The sequence below is a fragment of the Homo sapiens genome, chromosome 18 (assembly GCF_000001405.40).
Source record: "Homo sapiens chromosome 18, GRCh38.p14 Primary Assembly".
Classification (NCBI taxonomy): domain Eukaryota; kingdom Metazoa; phylum Chordata; class Mammalia; order Primates; family Hominidae; genus Homo; species Homo sapiens.
Window position 1 is genome coordinate 46,613,205 of NC_000018.10, and position 22,987 is coordinate 46,636,191.

The window sequence follows — 22,987 nt, forward strand, 5'->3', positions numbered from 1 at the left end:
AATTTGAGTCTTTTCTCATCCACGAACATATTTCTCAATTTATTTACATATTCTTGTATATCCTTCAATAAAAATTTATAGTTTTCCCAAAAGGCTCTTTTTAATATTTATTCTTAGGTAACTTGTAATTGCTAATGCAAATAATATATTTTTAAATTAAATGTTTGCATTACTAATTTTTATTACTTTTTGTATTGTAATCTTATATCCAGCAACTTTAGTAACTTTCTCTTTCATTGGTTCTAATGGTTTGTAAATTCTCCTGGATTTTGTAGATGATCATTATTTTTTACAAAAATGAAAGTCTGTTATTTCATTTTCAACCGTTATAGCTTTTATTTATTTTACTTGCCCTTTTTTCTGGCCCTAGGACCTCTAGTACTGTGAAGAATAGAAATAATGAGTAGCTGGACTATTTCTTTTGTTTCTGACTTTAAAAAGAGTGCTTTCAAGTTTTCAAAATTAAGCATGATATTTGTGCATATTTTGGTAGATAGCCTTATATTTTTCAAAAGAAATTTTATTTCTAGTTTTCTATGGGTTTTTAAAAAGTAAATAATGCAAATTTTCCTGCATCTATCAAGATAATTCTTTCTCTTTAATCCGTTACTATAATAAATTATACAAATAGACTAATGTTAAATTATCATTAAATCCCTGGAATAAACCCTACAGAGTAGAAATTATTTGTCACATATCTATATATTTATTTATCAATTTGGTGTGCTAATATTTAAGATTTTTAGGTCTTTCACATGACAAAATGCTTATCATCACTGGCCATCAGAGAAATGCAAATCAAAACCACAATGAGATACCATCTCACACCAGTTAGAATGGTGATCATTAAAAAGTCAGGAAACAACAAGTGCTGGAGAGGATGTGGAGAAATAGGAACACTTTTACACTGTTGGTGGGACTGCAAACTAGTTCAACCATTGTGGAAGACAGGGTGGCAATTCCTCAAGGATCTAGAACTAGAAACACCATTTGACCCAGCCATCCCATTACTGGGTATATACCCAAAGGATTATAAATCATGCTGCTATAAAGACACATGCACATGTATGTTTATTGCGGCACTATTCACAATAGCAAAGACTTGGAAACAACCCAAATGTTCATCAATGATAGACTGGATTAAGAAAATGTGGCACATATACATCATGGAATACTATGCAGCCATAAAAAAGGATGAGTTCATGTCCTTTTTACGGACGTGGATGAAGCTGGAAACCATCATTCTGAGCAAACTATCGCAAGGATAGAAAACCAAACACTGCATGTTCTCACTCATAGGTGGGAATTGAACAATGAGAACACTTGGACACAGGGTGGGGAACATCACATACTGGGGCCTGTCATGGGATGTTGGGAGTGGGGAGGGATAGCATTAGGAGATATACCTAATGTAAATGATGAGTTAACGGGTGCAGCACACCAACGTGGCACATGTATACATAGGTAACAAACCTGTATGTTGTGCACATGTACCCTAGTACTTAAAGTATAATAATAAATAAATAAATAAATAAATAAATAACTTTTTAGGTCTTTATTCATAAATAAGACTAATCTGTACATTTCTTTCTCTTAATTTATCAGCCTGATTTTGGTATCAAAAATCATAAAATAAACTAGGACACATTACCTTTTTCCCTATTCTTCGAAACTATTTATATAAGATGGAGATTCATAATTTCTTAAATATTTGTTAGATTTTGCCTGAACAATCTTCTTGGTGTGATGTCTTGGGTGAATTTTAATTGCTGCTCTAATTTCTTTAGTGATTACAGATCTCCTTGGAATTTGGCTATAGTATGTTCTTAAGAGAATCTTTTTAGGATGCTGAGATGAAAGATCAGGCTACATCATATAGTGGCAATCATAAGGCTTGGACCCCAGCCTCTTTACTATGCTAGAGGAGACCCTCATGTTCCCTCAAGCATAAATGATGATGTGGCAGAAGAGGACCAAAGGCAAAGATTCTCCCATGTCATATTGCTATGGGACCCCAGCCCCAGGAAAGAGGCTAGCCTTCTCCAATAATGTAGCTTAGACCTCACAGCCCAAGGGCCAGTTTTTCTCTCCCAGGTCTGCAGTCTTGCCCTGCAAGATCCTCCTGGAATGACCCAGTATGTGATGGGTAACAGGGACCTGCATAGTTGCTATTGCTACTGTGTCCTCTAGTTTCCCCAGATAAATTCTGTTCCGGGTGGTGGTGGTGGTGATGATGATATAACATGTGCCATCAGATTATTCATATTATAATTTATTCTTTAATTACTTAGACATATGCTTTTTAATTTTTAAATGGGGTGAGATGTGGACATTTCTTCTAATTTTATTGCCTTATGATCAAAGAATGTTGTCCCTATATTATTGATTCATTTTAAGTTAAGGCTTGCTTTGTGATTTTGTATATGTTCATTATATGCTTGATAAGAATGTGTATTCTCTACCAGTTGGATGCAGTAATCTATATACTCCCTTTAGGTCAAGCTTATTAACTGTGTAGTTAAAATCTTTTCCACTCATACTAAATTTGTATGCATTTGGCCTATCCATTATTGAGAGTATTGTATCAAAATCTCCCACTATGATTCTGTATTTGCCAAATTCCTCCAAGAATTTTGTTAATTTTTGCTTCATATCTTGGGAATATGTTGTTAAGTTTACACAAGTTAAAAATTATTGCATCATTCTTTTTGTCATTATTCCTTTTGTCATTGTCTATTTTTATTTGAACAAAGTTGTTTGCCTTAAAGTTTCATTTGACAGATATTAATATAGCTATGCCAGAATCTTTCCTGTTTGTTAATGTTTTCCTGGTATATTTTATTTCATCCCATTTATTCTCAGACTTTCTGTATCATATACTGTATTTAAGCTGGATTTTTGAATTTTCATCTAAAAGAATATCCATCTTTTAAATGCTGACTCTGTTCTATTTATTAATACATTTGTTTTACTTTTGCTATTAGCCATGCTTTTTCTTTGCTTCCCTTTCTTCATTTCCTTCCTTCGATTGGATTGATTCTTTATTCCCTTTTATGTCTTCCTTTGGTTTTCAAATTATACATTTCTGTTTTGGGGTGGTTACTTTTACAATTTTGATATGCATACTTATTAAAATCTACAGTTAATCATTATCCCTACTCTCCTGGGAATGGGGAGATCAGCAGGGGCCAAGACCCTTACTATGTCTTAACTCTCATCATCCACTTTCCTTCTCAAATATTATTGATTTTAATTGTTGAGGTCCACATTTCTTCATGCGCTGATGTTAGTCATCATTTTTGTTGTTTTGTATAGTCAATGCTTGCTTAGATTCATTACATAGTTATCCATTTTTGCTCACCTTTGTTTCTTGTATCTCATTCCTTTCTTCTGTGTACAATTTCCTTTTTCTTGAAGTATATCCTTTAGTGGTTGTTTAAGCATATGAATGGTAAACTCTATTTATCTTTGTTTGCATAGAAATTTGCTAATTTAGCCGTCACTCTGGAATGATAACCTAGCTGGTATAGAATTATGGGGTGATATATATCCTTGCTTAGAATAGTGAAGACACTATTCCACGTGCTTATAACCTACATAGGTTGCTGATAGGAATTTGCTATCAATCTAACTATTGTTTTTATAGAAAGTAATCTGCCAAATCTGTTTCCTTTTAAAATATTTCCCTTTGCCTTTAGTTTCACCACAATGTATCTAATTATCTGAAATTCTTGAGGATTTAATCTTATTGTGTGTTGTGTTGATTAATGCTTAGTTATGATGAATTATATATTTGAGTGTTTTGTAGTTTTGGAAAGTGAACACATCTTCAGTATTTTATCTGTGGAAATTTCAGGCAGTCTTGCAAATGCTTTTGCCAAATATCTAAAGGTATTACTGGCATGAAACCAATTTTCTGTACTTGAGGGAGAGGGGGTCCCAAATCACACTTGTAGTGTTAAATCAAACCTCAAGCCCACATGCAGTGCAGGCCTAAGGTATCAATTTCTCAGTATTTTTTTTAAAATTTAGAGCTCTTGCCAAGAAACATTTACTGTACTGATGAGCAAATTTTTTCCTGGTCTATTTTTTCACTGAAGATGCTCCTCTGAACCATCAGGGCTTCTGGCTTTATATTCAGTTTTAATTTCAAATCTCTTGACTCATACAGGGCCAAGGTCTCATTTCCTGACCCCACATGGGTATGAAAGCTCATCCCCTAGATTGTTGAGCATGAAAGCTCTCTCCTTCCAGGAGCCACCACATCTATTCATAGTTAACACTTTGGTTTTGAATTCCCTCTTCATTTCTAGCACTGGCACCTGGAGATTTCTCTTTTTTTTTTTTTCCTTATAAGCTTAGCAATGCATTTTGAATTCTTTAGTATATTGTTACAAAATTCACATGTCTTTGTAGCTTTTCCAACTCCTATGTAATTCTGCTAAATTGGCAGAAGCAGAAGAGAACCACCTGTCTCATTCTTCTGACCTGAACTTCCTCTCAACACCTACAGCTGTGTCTGAGCTCTCAGTTCTTGCTTTCCCTGTGAGGCCAAGTCAAATTGTATTCCCAGCCTCATTCTGTTCTGCCCCAAACTACTGCATTGAATCAGGCCACACCCAGCAACATCCCAAAGTATAATTCAAGATGGGCATGAAGCTTAGGAAGATAGAGTAAGTGAGAATGAGTTTCCTAGAGATGTGAAGCTTGGGAGTGTCCATGGTCTGAGATGCAGGACAATTGCAATCAACCCACACACCAGCCATACTATAATCGGAAAACACATCACACACATAAACTTTACAACACAAAATGAACACCTGCTGCCCAGGACAGGTCACTCCAAACCACATCACAAGAAGTGAGATGCTCAATAGAGGAGCCCAAAGTGGGGCTCAAGCTGCCTTCCTCTGCCAGGATTGTGGGAACCCCATCTACAAAATAGTCCTGGGCTTGGCTTATGAAAAAAATAATTCAAACCCATTACCTGTGTCTCCATACTCTCCAAAAATATTGATGAAGACATCAGCATCTGTCCCTGCACCAATTACATCACCAGTGTATACCTTGACTTCATACTTATTACCTAGGAACAAGGAGAGAGAAAAACCTTAGCTCATCAGGATCCTGAAAAGAGAATAGAGGCCCCAAAGTAGCTACCACACCATCTACACTTACCCCCAGCAATGCATAAATTGTCACCATTACTGTCAATAACAGAGCAAAAAACAAGTCAGTCCACATTGGTTCCAAATGGTCATTGCATGAATTGTCATCATTACTGTCAACAACAGAGCAAAAAACAACTCACTCAACATTAGTTCCAAATGGCCATTGGATGTATGACCATCACTGTATGTGATGAATAAATCAGAGGTAGAGAAGACCTTCTGTTTTTATCTGCTAACATGTTGCCTTGAAACACAGGGATCAGCCCAGACCCAAGGTGCCACCCTGAACCAACCTCCACCATATCTCCCCTGAACTATTGAAATGTCTCTAACTAGGCCCTCTGTATCTCCTCTGCCTTTCCCAGTCTGTTTTCCACATTGCACCATAGCATAAAAATTCACTGGGAAAACTGGATTCTGCAGATGAAAATCAAATTTATCTGTAAATTGTCAAAGCCATAACCAATGCAAAGACAAGAGGCACCAATAGTGGCTGGCATGCTTAGGGCTCTTTCAAAGACCTGTATCTGCTTCCTGTATCTTTGCTCCATTCATTGAACAAAACTTAATCCCCTGTAACCTCCAAATGCCTTAGCTTCAGCCTCAGCCATGGCCTTGATGGGAGACGAAGCTTGGTAAACTTGACATGATGAGACCTGCCCAGGTCTCCCCAGCTGGAGCCTGCCTTAGAGTGAGGAGCAAAGGTCAGGGGTTGGTATTTGTGGTCAAGGGAAGGGGAATCCTCCAGCTTTTCACTGGGTGCCAACAATTCCAAGGGCTGAGACCACTCTCCCTCCCCTTTTCCCTTCTTACAGTGGCTTCATATTTTTTATGTAGCAGAATCCTTTTTTATAGGTGTCTTTTGCCCAATATGTGAAACTGGTAAAAACTAGAGCTGTTCTAATCAAGGTTCAGAGTCCCAGCCCCTCTGCCCACCTGTTCCCTAGTGCCTTCTCTGAGCCCTGTCCCTGGCCCTTAGAGGTTTTTCTCTTCTGTATTCCTCAGCTCCGCTATGTTGCCTGTGACAATGATTTTTGAGTTTTGTCATTTACTGTCTTGTGTTGTTTGCCATTTCCTGCAAGTAAGGCTTCTAATTTCAAGTATTTATAGGAGGGCTGGGAGCAGGACTTCCTTCTCCTAGATAATCTCTCCCACATACCCTAGCACAGTGCTGGGCATGTACATTACAGTCTCATTAAGTACGCTGGAAAATAAATGGAATCAAATTTCCTAAAATTCAAAGTCTCCAGGAAGTTGCTCAGGGCAAAGGACTGAGGTTGGAGAGATGAGGAGAAAACTTAATTTCATCCCTTCTAGAGGTGACACGGTGCAGGATCCTGCAGGAGCCCCACAGAGGACAGCCCACACACAGCCCCTGAAAGTTGGCCTTGAACTGGTGAGAACACTGAGGCAGCAGCGGTCAGTGCCTTCCCTTTCTCTCCTCAATCCTCACTTGAGGAAACCCATCAATGGGGTAGGGAAGAATCCTGCAATTCTTGTCCCTAACTGAGAGCTCCAGGAGGAGCAGCCACTGTCAGACTCCCACACCTCTTGCTTTACAGTGAAGATCCTCTGAGACTGCAGCCAGAACCGGAGGTTTTGGAAGAGGCCAGGTCAGGGAACTCTGAGGTGAGCAGCTTGAAACTGGAGCCACACTCAGGTTACCTGGCAGTAACACCTGGCAGGTGTTAAACGGGCAGATTCCAGGTTTCCCTCCCAGAGCTTCTGAGCCATGTTGTTTGTAAGGACCAGGGAGGCCTCAGCCGTGGCTAGCTAATTCTGCTTTTACCATCTTCCATATTCCAGAGGCCGCCCCCCAGCCTTGATTCTCTCCTCCCTGGCTGGCAGTGCCTCTGAGAACATTCATTTTGGCTCACAACCCTTCCCAACTCCAGTCCAGGGCTCACTTCACAGAGGCAAGACCCCTCTTCAGGGTGGCAAGATGCCTAGGGCCCCTTGTCTGGTGAAGCCAGGGAGGGTGGTGGCCGGGGAATGTTCTGAAGGTTGCATCAGTCCATTGGAAGGGGCAGCAGGGCTCCAGGGGAAACTGCACACAGTGAAGCAGGAGAAAGGATGAGAGGGGCTGGGAAGCATTTGTTGAAGGAGTCGCCAATATTCTGAATCATTCCAGAAGGCAGAATTCTAATTAGCGAGTTGAGTTATAAAGCAGATTTTCACTCACCAAAGGAAAGATTTTGTAGTATCTAAGGCTATTCAACAAAGGAATGGATGCCCTTGGGTTGGGGAGGGAGTTTCCCATCCCTAGAGACACCTGACAGTTAGCATGTGCCAAGCACATTGGTGGAGAGCCACCTGCCAGGGATGCTGCACAGAAAGTGCCATAGGTGAGAGGATGTGGAAACGCTAAAGGTCCTTTTTAATCTGCAATTCCTTGACACTTGACCAAGAAGGACAGACTCTGGAGGGAAGCCAGGAGATCAAGGAGACATCTCAGAAGGAAGGGGAAGCACCCTGAATGAGGAAAAGTGAGGCCTGGGCAGCACGAACGCACACGGGACTTTGGGAACACACAGCATCCATGCTCTGGCAAAGTCTGGAGAAGCAGACCACGAGCCCAAAGTGAGGCAATTTGGGGAGACAGGCCAACTGTCAGAGATCAGGAGACCAGGGCTGGTGGAAAGGAGCTTCTAGGCCTTTCCAGCTGAGGTGGACAAGGGACCCAAGCCAAGAGATCAGGAAGTCAGGTGGACAGAGGTCAGGAGGAAGCTGATTCTAGAACAAGCAGACTGTCTTCTAGCCTCTGCAGAACTTTCTATGGCAGATGGGGCCCTGAGTCCCTATGCAGTTGGCTGGGTGGAGAATAGGATCCCTGTGTGACAGGTGACTGCCAATCACATTGAGAAGGAGACAAGAGCTGCAGCAGGGATGGACAGATACACCTCACGAAACCATTTTTTAGAAGTCCCCATACATGGATGCTGACATTTATTACATTACTCTTTTACCTCCTTTATTTCATATTCCCTCTTCAAGCAGAACCCCAGACTATCTACTTTGCCATTTTCCAAAACAAGGCCCATGGCCCAATGCCGGCCCTGATCTGTGCTTAGGTGCATCTGCCGATGAGAGAACAAGGCTGAGGAAAAGCAGGGCTCCATTCTGTCACTGTTGGCAAACGTCAGCTCAGGGCATCAAGCCTTCCTGTCACACAAGTGCCCCCCAATTTCCTGTGACTAGAGTTTCAGTGAGCACAGACTTGCTGTTCTGGTCTCAAGCAGGTTTTTGCTTGTTGAACTCATCACTTGGATCTCGTAATCTGTGAGAACAAAACGCCCACATATGAGATAGGGCTGCTGCCCTGGCAACTGGGCACTGACCAGAGAGAAAGGTGAAAGACCAATTAAAAAAAAAAATCCCTGCCCAAAGGCCAGCAGGAAGCAGGGAAATAGGGAGAAAGATGATGATAAGAAATAATTCCCATGTGAGCCAAAAGGTCACCTTTCATCTCTGAAAATGACATGGTGGATTCACCTTCCAGGGCAAATAATACTAAATATTCACAAAGGCATTTGCAGCTAACAAGCCACTTGCATATTCTAGATGTCATTTGATCCACACAATGGCCACATGTGATAGGCAGGGCAGGTGCTGTTGACGTTCTCATTTACAGATAAGAAAACTGAAGCTCAGAGGGCAAGGTGGCTCGCCCCAGGACAGGTAGTTGCTAAATGATGCAAGAAGGGCTCAAAGCAAGGTCTCTGGTCTTTGAATCCAGGGCTTTTCCCAGGATACCCCAGGCCTCCCAGACCCTATGCCAGGGTGGGCAAACTTTTTCTGTAAAGCACCAGATAGGAAATATTTTAGGATTTGCAGGCCATTTGGTCTCTGTCACATCAACTGTTCAGCTCTGCTGTTGTGGCATGAAAGCAACAATAGACAATATTACATAAACAAATGGGTATGTGGCTATGCTACAGTAAGACTTTATTTATGGACATTGCCATGTGAATTTCATATAATTTTTATGTGTCCCAAAATATTACTTTTTAAAAAAATTCTTTTCAACTGTTTAAAAAACATAGAAACCATTCTTAGCTCGGGGTCCACACAAAAACAGGTGACAGGCTGGGATTGGGCCACCGGTGAGAGTTAGGATATGTCTTGAACTCTCAGGCACTGTTCTGCCTGTCTCTAGGCAGGGGGTGGTGGGTAGATCTGCTCTCTGTGGCCTGGAATGGGAGCAAAGCTGCCTGGACCAGGGTGGTCAGCTGCTGGCTGCAGGATAATGGCAGCATATCTGGACCATTAGCTAAGCATCTCAAGGCTCTGAAGATTGGGGAAGGAGTCCCCTTTCTCTGTTGCAGTAGAGCATGTCCTATGCCCATTGTGAATGAGCAGGGCCAACTTTCCCTGCCCCTACAATGCCATGTGGCTGGGCTGAGCCTGGCAGTCCACTGATAGAAGAGGCGGCGTGGTCTGGGGTTTCCTAAAGGCAGGGACAGAGGGCAGCACCGCTTCTGCAATCTTAGTCTTAAGCTTTTTGTTCATAGCCTGATTGAGAGTAAGGAGCAGAAATGGAAACAGGTGAAAGTCAAGTTGGAAGAGAGGCTAGCACTGAGTGCACCCCTGTTCCTGATCAAGCTTGGGAGAAACAGGGCTTAGCGATGGATTGTGGAAATCGTCACCCAAGCCAGCTCTAGAGCTGGCCTGTGATTTACCCATTTAGTGTATTATCTGTTGTTCAGTTGTCCCTAGAGTTGATTTCTCTCTGGCCTTTTAGCAGGGCTACCATTAGCCTATATGGAACCTTTGTGCAAATTAGGCAAAAAGAATCCCTTTCTCAAGACATTTTACTGCCATCTGTTGGATAACTGTCATAATAAACACACAAATCTACAAGCTCTCTGATGTGAATTGTGTCTCCTTACATAGTCGCATTTGTGCAGTGTGTGACCTGCACATCTGAGACCAGCAACCCTACCTTTCACATAGTCACCTCCTTCCACTAAAGGTCAGCATGTGCTCAGGGAGGTCAAATTAATTTAAGCATTGATCTGAAGAATATACAATGAGGGTTGTAGACCAGGGATTAAGCTAAACACATGGTACCTTTCAAAGCCAACCAGAATTGAGCTGGGATCCTGTGCAGGTGGGCTTAGCTGCAGCCTAAAGATAGAGTGCCCACTCAAGGCCACAACAGAGGGTTGTCTGTGCCCCCCTTGCCCTGCTCAGTGGATGCACATGCCCTGACATGCCCTGTTTTTCCTCTGCAGGCCCTGTGGCAGGGGCACAAGGCTGCTCCCTCTAAACAGGAAATCCGTCCCTTGCCGGCTGGCCGGAAGCTGCCTGTGTGGGCTTCCAGAAAAGGCAGACACTGGCAGGCCCGAACTGCCTGCCTGCGCCTGGTGCACCAGCCACCCCCACAGCCTCCCCTGCGCTCTGTCTGGAACAGTCAGCACACAGCAGTGACAGAACACATCTCCAGAGAGCCACCCCAGGCCATGCAGAGAGGCAGAGCCATGAGGGGGCCGGGCCCCCTAATTCGGTGCTGCATGCACAGCGGAGCTGGTGAGGCTGCTTGCCACATTCCCGACTACAGAAGTCAAGCATATGCCCCGTAACTAAGCCCCCATCTCATCAAGACCCAGTGCGATCTGAACCTCAGGGAAGCTCACGTGGTCCAGGCTTTCTTAGGAAGCAGAGAATCATGAATGAACTGGTGGAGTTTCTTTTCCTTGCCTTTCGCCCATCCCCAGATCCTGTTTAAATAGAATGTGGCTTTAGCTATTTTAGCAGGTGAGGGTGAGGAGGGGGTTGGAAGGAGAATGATTGGGCCTGATTTTACCCCACCCGCAAGTGAATCTGCAATGGCTCACACCCTGACACCCCTCACTTCCGCTCACTGAGAGCCAAGACGCTAGAAGTGAGATATCACAGGCGCTGCGTAGGAGGAGATGAAAACGGCAAGGGAGAGAGATTCAGCGGGGGCTGCCCTGGGGGTGGGAGATGAGGGGGAATGTTCTCTCCCAGCCAGGGAAGGCCCCCTCACTACTCAAGCCCACACAGATGTGGGGAGGGGTTGGTCCGCAGAACCCAAGGATGGGCAGGGGGGACAATGCCATGTGCCGGTGCCGGAAGCTGGCTCATGGCCACCGACCAATGGATTCCCTCCCAGTCATGTAGACTCCAGTTCTTTCCCCCATGCTACCCCCAAAAGGTTTCCTCTTCCTTCGTCAGGCCTGGACACCCATTGCCTCTCAGCCAGGCTCTCGTCTACTGTCTCTTCCTCATTCTCCAGACTCTTCCACCTCCAGTACATCCAACCCACCCTCCCATCATCACTTTGTACCAGCTCTTCCATGGCCTCTGCGAGATGCTCTCTGCTCCTGGGACCACACACAAGGCACTGGGACGATGGATGACAGGCTTTCTTCCTTTGCTTTCCTCCTGTAACTTCCTTCTTTTCTCCCTTCTCCCTTTCTTCTTCTGTCTTTTCTCCCTCTCACTGTCTTACAAATAGAACTGGAACTTTTCTCCCTAGAATACCCTCCACCTTGCTCTCCTTGCAGACACACTTCTTATTAAAATCATAAGTGCCTCTGATCCTCCGAGAAATTGCAATGGGCCATTCACTTCTATCACATCGTTTAATCCTCACAATGATGGACCCTATGGCTACTAGTGTCACCATTTTTAGTAATGAGGCAATGGAAGCAGGAGCTTAAGAAGCTTGATGGTGTTCACACAATTAGAAAGGGTGCAGCCTAGATTTGGACTCAGGGCATCTGAACAAGAAGGTTCTCTCTTGGCTGTCATTGCCCCCACCCTGCCAGCTTTAGTTCAAACCTCAGGTTCTCTCAAAAGTTCCCACCTGCCAAACCCACACGGCCCCATTCCACAGCTCCCGGTGTGTGCGTTGTTCCTTTAGCAACTAACGTGCTCAAACACAGTCCGTGCATTTGACCTCAGCCAAGCCTTGTTATGCACCAACATGAAAACATCACTTGGTCCTTAAAAGTTGCTCATGGGCAGAAATCAAGAAATAACATTCTACAGCAGTGGCATCCAGTCTTTTGGCTTCCCTGGGCCACACTGGAAGGAGAAGAATTCCCTTGGGCCACACATAAAATACATTAACACTAGCGATAGCTGATGAGCTAAAAAAAAAAAAAAATTGCAAAAAAATCTTATGCTTTAAGAAAGTTTATGAATTTTTGTTGGGCTACATTCAAAGCTGTCCTGGGCCACATGCAGCCTGTGGGTGGTGGGTTGAACAAGCTTGCCCTATACCATTCATCACCCTCAAGTAAATATACAGCTGGTACGTTTTTCTAGGGAACTGTCCAATGTAAGTCTGATACTATCAGGTGTTGAAACATAGGAGGGAGTAGATCAGCTTCCACTCCTTCAGCTTATCCTGCTGGTTCCTTTTCCAGCCACTGCCCAGCCCTGAAGAGCTATTTCTACCTACCCTGCAGTCACTCGTCCTCCTTTGCTTCCTTTCCTGCCTCTCTACGGAAGACCCCTCCCATCCACCTGCACATTTCGATAACCTTGGCTCCATTACTTCCCTTTCCAACCCAGACTCTAGTAGACTGCTAGTATTTATCTTCCCAGAGGGCCAGAACACCAGCACTTCTTGTATACTACTGGAATGTCACCCAGCCTTCCTGGAGGGCAGGTGAGTGATATATGTTAAAAGCCTTAACATTGTGCAAATCCCTTGAACCAACTATTCAAGCCCTATGCATTAGTTTATACTAAGGGAGTAGTTATATTAATTGATCACCTATAAGGATGTCTATCACAGCATTGTTAATACTGACAAAAAATAGGGAACAACCTAAAGATATCCAAAATAGGAGATTTGGGGGGTGACATATATTCTCCCATTCATGGACTACAATGCAGCCACTTAAAATAACAGAAGATGGGCCAGGCACAGTGACTCATGCCTGTAATCCCAACACTTTGGGATTATACTTGAAGTCAGGAGTTTGAAATCAGCCCAGCCAACGTGGTAAAACCCTGTCTCTAATAAAAAACACAAAATTTGCCAGGTGTGGTGGCACATGCCTGTAATCCCAGCTACTTGGGAGGCTGAGGCAGGAGAATCACCTGAACCTGGGAGGCAGAGGTTGCAGTGAGCCAACATCATGCTACTGCACTCCAGCCTGGGCAACAGAGTGAGATGCCATCTCAAAAAATAAATAAATATAAAATAAAATAACAGAAGATGATTTGAGGCTATAATGTAGTATTAAGTGAAACAACATGGTTATAAAATTGAGTTTAATGCAATACCATTTTAATATGTAGGGTTTAATATGTTCATAAACAAAAATTTAAAGAATGGGAAGGAAATTCACCAAAATGTTAACAGGGGTGTCTCCAACACAATTGTACTCAGTACTTAAGTTCAAGCCTCTGTGTTTGCTCCTAGCTTCATCCTTATAGACAAATGATTTCACCTCCCCCTTCCTCAGTCTCCTTCATCTATTAGATGGGGGTAACAATAAACCTCCCTTGCAGCGTTGTGAAAATTAAATGGATGTTTAGATAGATAGGTGGATGGATAGATTAGATTAAGATTAATAGTTTGTTGAGAATGATGACAGCCATTGAGTAAGTGCTGCATAAAAATCAGCTATTGTCATCTTTGAGTGATTGGATTATGGAAGATTTTCTTATTCTTCTGTTGCTTATTTGTACTTTTGAATTTTTACAATGGCCATATTTTTTCTGTGATTGAAAACTGAAGTCACCTAATGTCAATACTTGAGTAGGTCATGTCTTCTGTATTTCAGAAGAAACAGTCGAAAGTTCCTGCCAATTTATTATAACCTCAAGCTGGCTTTGTCACACAAATGCCTTGAGCCAGTCTGAGTGGCTGTGAGGCTGGAGGGAAGATTGAGAACCAGATGGCCAGTGAGAGAGAATAGACACAAGGGCCACCAGCAGAGACCCAGCCCCAGGCAGGTGGGAACACTTTCTCTGACTCTCACTGGGCTCACACTGGCCAACACCTGTGGCTAAAGGGAGGGTTCCAGCAGGAAGCCATTGGTGCTGCAATGGAATGGACACTGACAGCTGGATCAGGGCCAAGACAGTGTCTGTGTCATCAGTTCAGATTTTCGTGTGTACAAAATGCAACATGGAGAAAGTGCTATTTCCACAAACAGAAAAAAAAAGGCTATTTTAAACACCTATTTAAAGATAAAAATAACCAAGTTTGAAGCAAATACACAATTCCATGCATTCTCCAAACATTCTGGCTGCTGGGTTGAAAGAGAATGTGGCTGGTGGTGGTTCTGGGAGGGTGGAGGCCACAGTGAAAATATGAGGTGGAGGATCCATTCCCAGGTGTGTGAGTGACACTGAGCCATCAGAGCTCATTTCCCCAAGTGCCCTCATTTCATTTCAAATCCTAGAAAACTCCTCACCCATGAAGACTCAGTTTGAGCATCACCTCCTCTATAAAGGCCTCCTGATTCCTTCTTCCTCTATGCTCCCATTGGCCTGGGCGCCATACCCCACTTAGAATATTCTATCCCTTTGCACTGTGATTATCTACTGGCTTGACTCTCTCCCGTCTAGACTCTAAGCTCCTAGAGAGAAGGGCCTGTATGTAATCACCCTGAGCGCAGGCTCTGGTGCATAGAAGGCTCCCCGCAAAATGCCCATTGAATCACTGAATGAATGTGCTTAACAGGAGGAATGATGGAGGAGCATGAGCTGGCACCAAAAGCCCAAGACTGCAGCTCTGCCCTACAGTTATGCTGTGTGACCAAGAGCAAGGGGCTTAATTTCCCTGGGCTTCCATTTTCTCCTCTCTGAAATGGAGGAAGAGTAGATAAAGTCCCTTTTGGTCCTTAAATTCTCTGATGTGCCACAACAGGGCCTCACTTAGAGTGGTTCTCTTCTTCCCCCTCTTTCCGGAGATGATTTTCTGCAGTGCTAGGTGGGAGCAGATGGGGTGGGCGGGGAGCTGCTGTGAGCTTCAGTGGAGGAAAGTGCTGCAGGGCTGGCCCAGCCCTCCCTACCCTGGAGTCCTTGCCCCCACCTGGGAATTCTTCCATGGAGTTCAAAGGAACAATGACTCCCAAGCAGCACCCACAGCAAATAGGCTCAGAGAGCCCTGGAGAGTGCTCCGTGAAGGAAAATGACAAAGCGTCGGGAAAAGAGGCTTTCCCTGCTGGCTTTAACAGCAGTCAAGGTGATGAGCCTATTCCCAGTTGTCTGCTTGAACCTGCCTGGATTCCAGAGGGGAACCTGGCACTGAGTAGCTCTGGAGTACTTTCTGAGAGGTTAGAATCTTAAGCCTGTGCATCTCAGAATCAGAAAAAGCCTGGATGTGGGGGAAGAAGAAAGGGAAACATCAGGAGCTTAACCACAAGGACAAGCACCACGCTATTGTGTCATTTACTGAGCATTGACTCTGTGCCTCGGCACTAAGTCCTGTATGCTCATTTCCCCAGCTAATCTTATCAGGTAGAAATTAATGTTCTCCCCACTTTACAAATGAGAAAATAGAGGCACAGAGCTTAAGGCATCTGCTCATGCTAGCATAAGTGGCAGAATGGCAGAGCTAGCTTTTGACCATGGAGAAGGGGAGTCCAGAGACCGAGTCCATGGTGGGGGACTATCTTGAAGATGGGAAGTATGGGGAGATGAAATAGGGCAGAAAGATCCACAGTAGAAAGGAAGCCACCAAAGGCCAATCTCCTTTTGCCCCCATGGAGGAGGGCTGGCCCTGACCTCTCCGTCTCCCTTTGGTTATGAAAGTGGACACTCTAGTAATCCTGAAAAGACTCCAAGAGACCCCCTAGTCCAGGCACTCTACAGAGGGAGAAACTGAGGATAGGAGGGGAACTGAGATCTGCCCCAGGTCTCATTGCTATTTGGTGGCAAAGCCAGAACCAGAACTCAGGATGTATAGTCCCATGTGCTTTCTGACCCAGAGAGTTATTTTAAGATTAATGATTTAATTACTCTACGATAATATCCTATAGAATCTGGGAATAAGTCAGTGCTTCTGGCTTCTTGACAGAGCCTTTGCGATGGGTGTTTTATGCTCCAATCATGCAGGGTACTTTCATTTTGCATTTGCACTATGCAGTCCTCTGGCAGGTCCATAATCCTTTGCAGGGCGGTACAATTTGCACATGCCCCTAATACGTTAATCACCATCCCTTTCTTATCCCATTCTCCCCTCAAATGCACCCTGGGCACTACGCCCAACATGGTCATGTCAAGATCGGGTACACATCTGGAGCTGTGTGATAATCATTGTGTGGCACTGCATGGCCTGGAATAAAACTATAACCCAGTTACCTGATGAAACAGCCAGGAATGGAAACAGTGATTATGCTGAAAACAAACACAATTCCATTTCTACCCATTCCCAAGTGCTGTGCAGCTTTCAGCCCCCAGCTCCAGCTTTCTCACTGGGCATTAAAAAAAAAAAAAAAGAAAAAAAGAAAGAAAGAAAAAAAGGCAATTCATTTGCTCCAGAATGGGAGTCCAGATGTAAACGTCATCCACCCCTCCCACCACCTGCATGCGCCCAGCCCACCTGCCCAAGTTGTTGTTTCTTCTTATGGCTTCCCTTTCCTGTAATCATCAGCCTCTCTTCTCTTTGAAGCATACAACAAAACTGGCTGCAACCATATTTGTTATTAATCTACCCAAGAAGATTACATGCCCCCTAGATGGTGGCTTGTCCTTCCCAAAACCTAAAGAACAAGAGCAGGTGTGGAATCAGGACCCACCTCAAGACTGGGCCCTCTGAATGCAAGGGGCCTCTCTGCTTCTGCCAGTGCCTGAGTCTGAAACATTTCTGAGCTGTTGTGCTGGGTTCTGACAGCCCTGGTGTGTGAGCAGCCCCCAGGTCAGCTGCAACGCAGCTCTTGGCTTCAGAGGCCTGTCTCATGGCCAAGCTGGTGGAGCCTTCCCCAGGCAGTATGGTGTGGGCTCAATATTAATCTAAGCCACATGATCATCTCAGTGCTTTTCGAAGTAGGAGGGTTTGTGGGTAGGCACTGGGCTGTGGGCAATTACTTGGCCAGAAAGCAGGAAATGACATCATATTGGTCGTGAGAAGGCCAGGCAGGATCTGCCTTAAACAGGTCTTGCTCATGCTTCCCTACCAGCCCAAGCTCCTTCAAGACCCAATATGAGGTCATCCCAAATCTACCTGGAGAGCACACGCCATCTTATCAGGCCTTGCCTAACTCAGATGTCTCGCCCAACCTCATTCTTCAATACTGCCCCATAGGGAAGGCAGGGATGTGCCCAGGGCTTCCCTGAAGTCAAAGAGGACTGAGTAGCCCTGCATTCTCAGCCTGGGCAACTCTGCAGTGGGCTTATGAATTGCACCTGGGCACTGTGTCCTGTGAATGTCTCACCAAAAGGGACAACATCAAAGTGGGTATGGGGGGGGGTGTGAAATCAGTGGGTGGGAGACACCTGGAGGCAAGCAAGAAAGAAGGTGCTTAGCTAGCACAGTGTCAGAGTAAGCCAGTGCTACAGGGACCTCAGAGAACATCTCGAGCAACCTGGTAAGAAGATGAGAAAACAGAGACCCAGAGAGGATGAGCAACTTGCCCAGAGTCACATAATTACCAAAGTGTGAGGCTAGGACTCAGGTCTCTGCCCCTTTGGAAAGCTCTTTCCACCCATCTCTGTGGCTTGTCTTTATAATCAGATGTGTCTATCCATGACCTCCCATTACTACCATATGCACACAACCTGTTCCTTACCAACGTTCATACAAGCCCCTAAGTCCCAGTGGCCAAGGTAGCAGCTGTGAGTAAAAGCCATCACCAGGTAGATAGGAGGAGACCGCAGTGTTACCCTCAGAGCAACCTGAGCTTCACTGGAGAAACTGGAGAGATACACATTAGGAAGTTAGAGCCCTGAAATATGGTATTTCTTGGCAATGTATCCATCTCAAAACACCTGACAGCTACAACCCCCCCACCACCATCAGTCTTGGTGGCTCATCTTGGTGGTGATTCTGCCAGAGCACGTGTGAACCACAGGGAGTAGGTTGAGAAGGTCCTCCTCCCTGCCCGTGAGATTCCTTACATATCCCTGATTGCAGAATCACTGCACAGCAGTGTGTGGCACAGACTTTCCTCACAGAGTTTAGAGAGGGAGGGGACACCTGAGGCAGAGGAAGTGGGTAATGCCGTCCAGAGAGGCTGAGGCTTTCCATCCAGTGGGGTCGGGGTGGCATGCAAAAAAGAGGAGGATGAAAGAGAGGAAGTGAGGGGCGAGGGGCCTTGACATTTCCTCTGGCCCTGGCACGTTTTAACAGAAGATCCGCAGTTTCCTATATCACCAACTTGAGACAGAACTCTGGGAACAAGGAGCCAACTCAGTTAGCAAATAGGGCAGGCCCCGGGGCTCCAGAAAGACCTGCCCCACTGGGTCCTTGCAGGGCTTGATGCGATAGGGCCTGAATCACAGAAACAGCTGTCGGCTGTCCGTGGTCTGGTTTCCACTCCACAATCTCTGAACAGATTAGCACAGGGTGTCTAATACTGCCCTCAGGCCTCAGTTCCACTTCCAACGGGTCCCTTGAAACCTCCTCAGGGTTGATGAATGCTGGAGAGAACAGCTTTCAGAGCCACTGTCTGCCAGGCACAGGAGCCAACACAATCTGAGCAAACAGGTTGAGAAATGGGAGCTGCTAGCCCTAGACCAAGAAACAGAAGAGGCAGTGGGGAGGCACTCTGTGCTGCTTGCCTTGACCTTTGTCCCCTGTGCAACGTGGGGATAATAATAGCCGCTACTTCTCGGAGTTTTAAGAAGATACTACTTGTAAAATGTATGCACACAAAGACACAAGGCTACGGAAGTATTTTGTCTCAAAGTCATATAGCTAGGAGGTGGTAGGGGTGGGATTTGAACCCAGGACTCCATGATTTGAGGCCTGGCACTCTGAGCCATGATGCTCTACAGTCTCCTTGTGGGCACTTTGTATGATGGGAATCTGTGTCCTCCACTGGACTGTGAGCACCTTGAGGGCAGGGACTATGTCCTTATCCACAGGCTCAGCATCTTAGGGCAGCTCAAGAGGGCATTGCCAACAGCAGCTGCTAAGGATGATGCTGCACCTGCAGGCAGGGGAGACAGTGCTTAACTTCCAGCCAGGGGCTGCTATCAGTGTGGAGATGTCCATGCAGTTACTCTGCCCCTTGTGTTCTGAGTTACCAAGAGGGTGAGCCATTCCCGGCAGGATGGAAGAAATCCACCAGGAAGACAGTCACACACATCCATGACAACAGAAGGGATGCCAACAAGCAGATGGCAGGAGGGAAAATTCACTACACTTCTGGAGCAATTTGATAGCCAAGACTCTGTTCCCAGGGATAATAAATGCGGATATGCTGGAAAAGCGGTTGCCAGCCTTCCACAGGCCCCAGAAGGTGCCAGGACCCCTGACGCCCACTCTTAGAGTGAGACAAGCCTAGAGATGGCTGCTAACTCCCTGTGCCGGCTCTGTGTATGTCTGAAATGCTTATTCACGTGTGATGTCTGACTGAACCATTCCATTGACAGGTTGAGGGCAGCCAGCCAAGACTGGGGCGCCCACTCCTACTGATTCACATGGGGATGAGTCAAGAGAATCCAGGAGGTTTCTCCAGGAGCCTTGAAGTCTTGCGCAAGAACTGAGGAGTTGAGGTGAAGGCATTTTCCTCTTTTCTTCCAAATGAACAAAAGCTTTTTGACTGAAATATGGCCTATGGTCACTGTTAAAATCACTTAATGAACATTTGGAATGCATTAAAAGAAGTGACCTATCAAGGGATCCTGAATAGCCAAAATAATCTTGAAAAAGAACAAAAGTTTGAGGTCTCACACTTCCTGATTTTAAAACTTACTGCAAAGTTACAGTAATCAAACAGTGTGGTAGTGGCATAAAGACAGTCATATAGACCAGTGGAATAGAACAGAGAGCCCAGAAATAAACTATCATATATATAGTCAAATAATTTTCAACAGGGGTGCCAAAACTGTTCAATAAGGAAGGGACAGTCTTTTCAACAAATAGTGCTGGGAAAACTGAATATCCACTGCAAAAGAGTGAAGTTGGACCTTGATTTATATCATCTGCAAAATTTCACTCAAAATGGACCAAAGACCTAAATGTAACAACAAAAACTATAACATTCTTAGAAGAAAACATGGGAGAAAAATCTTCATGACATTGACCTTGGCAATTTTTTAGATATGACACCTAAAGCATAGACAACAAAAGAAAAAATAGATTAATTGGTTTCATAAAAATTAAAACTTTTGGGCATCAGTGGACACTATCAACAGAGTAAAAAGACAACTCATCGAATGGGAGAAAAATATTTGTAAATCATATATCTGAAAAGGGGTTAATACCCAGAATATGTAACAGAGGTCTACAATTCAACAATAAAAAGATAAACAACTTAATTTAAAAATGGATGAAGGATTTGAATGGTTATTCTCCAAAGAAGATATGCAAATTACCAATAAGCACATGAAGAGATTCTCAACATCACTAATCATTAGGGATCATTTCCCACCCATTAGGATGGCTATTGTTTTTTAAAAAACAGAAAATAGCGAGTGTTGGTCAGGATCTGGAGAAATTAGAACTCGTGTGCATTGCTGGTAGGAATGTAAAATGGTACAACCACTGTAGAAAACAGTATGGTGGTTACTCAAAATTACATATAATACCCAGCAAATCTGTGTGTATATGCCCAAAAGAATTGAAAACAGGGACTTGAACAAATATTTGTACGCCCATGTTCATAGCAGCATTAATCACAATAGCTAAAAGGTGGAAATAGTCCAATGTCTATCAACAGAATGGACCAATAAGTTGTGTTATACCCATACAATGGGATGCTATTCAGCCTTAAAAAGGAAGGAAATTCTGACACGTGCCATAGCATGGATTAAATCTGAAGATATTATGCTAAGTGAAATGAGCTAGATGCAAAAGGACAAATATTGTATGATTCCACTTGTACAGTTGGGTATCCCTAACACAGAAATCCAAAATCTGAAATCCTCCAAAATCCAAAACTTTTTGAATACTGACACAATGCCATGAATGGAAAATTATACCACCTGACCTCATGTGACAGGTCACAGATGAAATGCTGTAAAACTTTGCTTCCAGCACAGTATTTTCAGAAATGTTGGATAAAATTATCTTTGGGCTACATGTATAAGGTACATATGAAACAAATGAATTTCATGGATAGACTTGGCTTCCATCCCCAAAATATCTCAGTAGGCCTATGCAAGCATTCCAAAATCTGGAGAAAAAAAAAATCCCAAATCCAAAACACTTCTGGTCCCAAGCATTCTGGACTAGACTCACCCTGTATAAGATTCCTGGATTAGCCAAATTTACAGAGACAGAAAGTAGAATAGAGTTTACCAGGATCTCAGGGGTGGGGAACAATGGAGAGTTAGTGTTTAATGGGCACAGTTTCAGGGTGGCAAGATGAGAAAGTTTTAGAGATTGATGGTGGTGACGGTTGCACAACAATGTGAATGTACTTAATGCCACTAAACTGTCCATTTAAAAATGGTGAAGGTGGCAAATTTTATGTTATGCATATTTTACCACAATTTTTTTTTAAAAGAAGCAGGATAACAGAGTCAGGGAGGCCCCTTCCTCTGTGCTAATGGTCCCCTGTCTGGAACACAGGGTTCTAGACTAGTAGGTACCTTCTTGGGAAGGGACCACAAAAAGAGAGGTCAAGGATCCTGGGGTTGTGTTCCTGAGAGGACGGAACCCTGTCTTCTGGCAGCTGAAGGGCTGATGCCTAGATAGACACTGTGTTGTGTCGGAAACACTGGAACAGACAAGCAGAAGCCTCAGGGAGACTAGGGGGTTTAATTCCAGGAAGGCTTGACTCAAACCAAAGCTGGAGAAGCAACTGATGGGGGTTATGTAGAAGGGGTTCTTGTGACAGCAGGAGGTTGTCCCAACTAACCCCCACAATCCCCACAATCACAGGCTCTGACCTCTTAGGTGCCAGACTAATTGCCCTTGGTCATGTCCTACGCAAGGGGCAGGCAGAAAGCAATTGAACTGAGAATAAGGAGACCCACAGTCTAGTCCTAGCTCCATCAGCTATTGGCCATTTGACCTTGGATGGATCCCCACATCCCTGGGCCTCTGTGCACCCATCTCTGTAATCAACACCCTGCCTCCCCTTCCTCTCAGATCAAGGCTGGTATTGTTTACCAGGGTACAGTCTGCATACCACTGGTGGGACATAAGATGCTAGCAATGCTATATGAGATTTATCTAATGTTGTGAATTTATGTTAATATCTACTAGTGTATGCCTGACATTTATAGCAAATGATAACAGTTTTTTATGATAGTAATATCAACTTTCTTATTAAAATAAATTTATAAGTTAATGTAAGTTGTAAAAAGTGAGTTAAAGAAGTAGTAGTAATTAATAATGCAAGCAGTACTTGAATCAGGCAAAACTCTTGAAGATGAAATGTGAGTTACTGAAGTTTGAGAGCCCCCTAGATGGATTGAGGGAGCACAAACAACCTGCCTCTTCAGACCCCAGCAATAGATCCCCGAGTCCTGGAGATCAGACCCAGAAAACCAAAAGCCACAGCCATTTGGTTGGTCCTGCTTGATGTCTTGAAGATGCCAAATGTAGCGATTTCCACCAACAAATTGAGAAGGACTAAGAAATTGAACTTGGTTCTAGGATCTTCTATCCACAAAACTGTGAGGCTGATCAGCTTCTGCCTCCTTCCCTTGAAACCTCCTGTCTGTCTTTCATCATCTCTACCTTCTACCCAGTGGACCCCATTAAGGAA

At 44.2% G+C, this 22,987-nt stretch overlaps 1 protein-coding gene across 2 annotated transcripts in view; it reads right to left on the minus strand.

Annotated features, from left to right (window-relative positions):
- LOXHD1 (lipoxygenase homology PLAT domains 1) overlaps nt 1-22,987 on the minus strand; it is a 180,260-nt gene that overhangs the window by 136,244 nt on the left and 21,029 nt on the right. For both annotated transcript variants that reach the window (NM_144612.7, NM_001384474.1), the window contains exon 5: nt 4,988-5,086. In NM_144612.7, coding sequence (NP_653213.6) covers nt 4,988-5,086 — 99 coding nt within the window. The remainder of the gene's footprint in view (nt 1-4,987; nt 5,087-22,987) is intronic.